We start from the raw sequence: 3,385 nt of genomic DNA, 5'->3' as shown, positions 1-3,385 counted from the left end.
ATTTAATTTTATCAAAGAAAAGTGAAAAAAGCAAGTCCCACTACATTATTTCAGGAAAAGCTACTATCGGAAATGTTTTTATTTTCCGATTGGTACCTCTTTTATGGGTCTGCCTGCAATTTTAAATTTGCATTTGTAACATGAACCTGTTCAAAAAATGGTAACCAAATTTTTGATAGTTTTCAATTAGCCACTTCTTTTAAGCTAAGGAAATATTCTATTTCTTTTGCTTTAATATAGCGTTCAGTTAGAGAAAACATATACAAAATATACAAAGCACACAGATAGATGTATACATACACATACAAAGCAATCTATTACAAATGACAACTAAAAGCATTAACTATATTTTCTTATAGGATAAACTTATTACGAGAGATGTCTCAGCTAATAACAATTGAGAAGAAAATAAAATTAAAGCAATTTGTAATAATACCGTGTCCAGAGTTGTTTCCTTCCAGTGGGTTTGTGGTCTTGCTGACTTCAAGAATGGAGCCGCGGACCTTCCCAGTGAGTGTTACAGCTCTTAAAGATAGCATGGACCCAAAGAGTGAGCAGCAGCAAGATTTTTTGTGAAGAGCTAAAGAACAAAGTTTCCACAGCGTGGAAAGAGAACCGAATGGGTTGCCACTGCTTGCTGGGGTGGCCAGCTTTTCTTCCCTTATTTGTCCCTTCTCATGTTCTGTTTTTGTCCTATCAGAGTGGCCTTTTTTCCAATCCTCCCTGTGATTGGCTACTTTTAGGATCCTGCCAATTGGTCCATTTTACAGAGTGCTGATTAGTCCATTTTACAGAGCACAGATTGGTCCATTTTGCAGAGCGCTGATTGGTGCATTTTACAATCCCCTTGTAAGACAGAAAAGTTCTCCAAGTCTCCACTCCACCCAGGAAGTCCAGCTGGCTTCACCTCTCAATATTCTTTTGGAATTTTATAATAATTTTTCTTTCTCAAATTAAGCAAACACATATATATTTTTCATTTCCATGGCTTATAAACATCTAGTTTTTGTAATGAGTACTCAAGTGCCAATGCTAGTGCATCATACAGAGTTCAGGTCACAAATTTCTCAACTTTTTTTTCCTAATTTCCAAAAATAAGAACATCAAAACAATATTCTAGATGCTAATATTATATACATACCAAGTTTCTAAAGTCTTACAATTTTAGAGTTCGTGAGTAGACTAGAATGTGAACAGGTGCATTATTATAGTTCAAAACAATCAGACCAAGGTAAATACTAGCCATGAGTATTTGTTTTGTGATATTACTAAAAGCACGTATGGCATAACAATCCTTATAGTTGAAAGTACTTGCCTTTCTTGGCACAACGATTATAAAAAATTCCATGGCTAAGATCAACACCGAACTTAAGAGATCAAAACTTATTGATACTGACCAAGACAGCCTTTAAGCTCCTCTCAGCTTGACTAGACTTCAGGCGGGTTTCTTCTTGACTTCAGGCCTCTGATCTTCTCTTCCTTAAAGCACTTACCTTAGGAAACTTGTAATCGCTGTTCCTTTGAGATGTAAATCTATCTAAAAGCCTCTTGAAAATTTTATGACCTGGGAATGTCTTCCTCCAGGGCTTGGGGCCATCACTTTGAAATCTACACATCAAGGAAGATAGTACTGCTATCTCCCAGTTTCCCTGGAAGGTTAGGAGCCTAACTTCTGTGAGTTCCTTGCCCCAGGTAGTAAAACAACTCCTCACAAAGATACCAGAGAAACTTTGCTTTTCCTCTGGGTAAAGCTAGCAAACACAAATGGTCTGTGTTCTCCCTCTTACCCCGGTGCTTAACCCTAACCAGCATTTTCAGGTGCTGCCCAAAACAGAACTAATTTTTCTAAATTTATCACAGCATGCCGTAAGGACCGTTTAGCTACCTAACACATATAGGTATCTGGGGTTTGATTAAGGAGGGAGAGAAGTGGAGAGAGGCAAGCAGGAATATCTCAGCAGGCCAACCAAGGGTCAAATGGGTCTTATGTCAGACAGTTGTCAATCAGACATCACAAACTAGTGGGAGGGACCTTCTTGTTACATGGGGGTGCCTACCAAAAAATAAAATGATCTGACTTTTATAATATTTTTAAAAAGATAACTTTGTTGCTGTTTTGGGAAAGAGACTGCGTTGTTGGGTCGGTGGTGAATAAAGGTACAAGCAACCATGTCAGTTAGTAGGTAATAGAACTAAAAATAATTATACATTATTCACTTAAACATGTATAGGTCATCAATGACTTATCTGAAACCAGATTAGATGTGTTTCAGGCTACTGTAATGGGTTTTCTAACAAAATATATTACCATTTCTGCAGCAAAGTGTGTAAATATTCATAGATGGACAATCTAAAAGTGTGGAGAGCCTCCCATCATTTCAGATAGTTATCCTTCCCTTCCATCTGAGTTAAGTTAGAGGCATGATTTCTCACCAAGGAAGCAGGATACATGAAATGCCCATGGAGGAATATATGATGAATGAATGACTTGGATATGACTTGGAGTGAATAAATAGGAATGTGAAAAGACATAAGGAGCTTAGATTAGTATTTGATAATCAAATAAAGAGACAGTCCTTATTACACAGGCTGGGAAATTTCCATAGCTAGTGGTGATGTTTGATAGTGCAAACTCAGTTTTACTGCATTTAATATTCTCCTGTAACTTCTCTCTTCCCATCTATGTCCTGATCTCTTAATCCTCTCATATGCAAAATGTATTTCTACTACACTAAGAGATCTTTTGCTCTAATTATTCAATCAATAAAATTTCTTTTAGTACAGCTATCTTAGCCATCATAAGTAATAGGCTTGTTGTATTTGTATCTAATTATGTTAAATAAAAATCTACATACATAAGCATATTATCAGATTGAACATAAAAAGTCATGATATTTATCATATTAAGGCAGCATCAGATTGTTGTGATGAAACATGGCCGCCAGATACAGAAGTCTTAGGCTAAATCCTGGATCTCATATTAGCTGTGTAATCTTAAACAAGTTACTTAATTCCTCAATTTCCCCCTTTTCCCAGTGGAAATAATTATGATTCCTCACAGAGTTGTTGTGATGATGAAGTGAGCTAACTTTCGTAAAGCATGTGAATGGTACTGGCCATATTTTAGAACTATATCAGTATTTATTTATTAAATTCAACAAGTAAATTATTAAATAAGTAAACTAAAAATGAAAATAGTGTATTAAGTTGCATATTGTGGCTTAAAGAATTCAACTTTTCATTTATTTTTGAAACATCTAATTTAAAAATCACTTCAAGTAGGCCAAACATGGTGCCTTACACCTATATTCCCAGCACTTTGGGAGGCCAAGACAGGCAGATTACCTGAGCCCAGGAATTTGAGACCAGCCTGGGCAACATGGCG

At 36.2% G+C, this 3,385-nt stretch overlaps 1 annotated feature.

Annotated features, from left to right (window-relative positions):
- Positions 953-1,522: an enhancer, noted in NCBI's record as "OCT4-NANOG hESC enhancer chr2:194247569-194248138 (GRCh37/hg19 assembly coordinates)". NCBI's record gives its function as "activates a minimal SCP1, AML or CMV promoter by ChIP-STARR-seq in naive H9 embryonic stem cells {active_cell/tissue: H9 hESC(naive)}" and the evidence as "EXISTENCE:reporter gene assay evidence [ECO:0000049][PMID:30033119]".

This window comes from Homo sapiens, chromosome 2, assembly GCF_000001405.40.
Source record: "Homo sapiens chromosome 2, GRCh38.p14 Primary Assembly".
Taxonomy (NCBI): Eukaryota; Metazoa; Chordata; class Mammalia; order Primates; family Hominidae; genus Homo; species Homo sapiens.
Note: the sequence above shows the minus strand (reverse complement) of the source record. Positions and strands in the feature narration are given on the sequence as shown.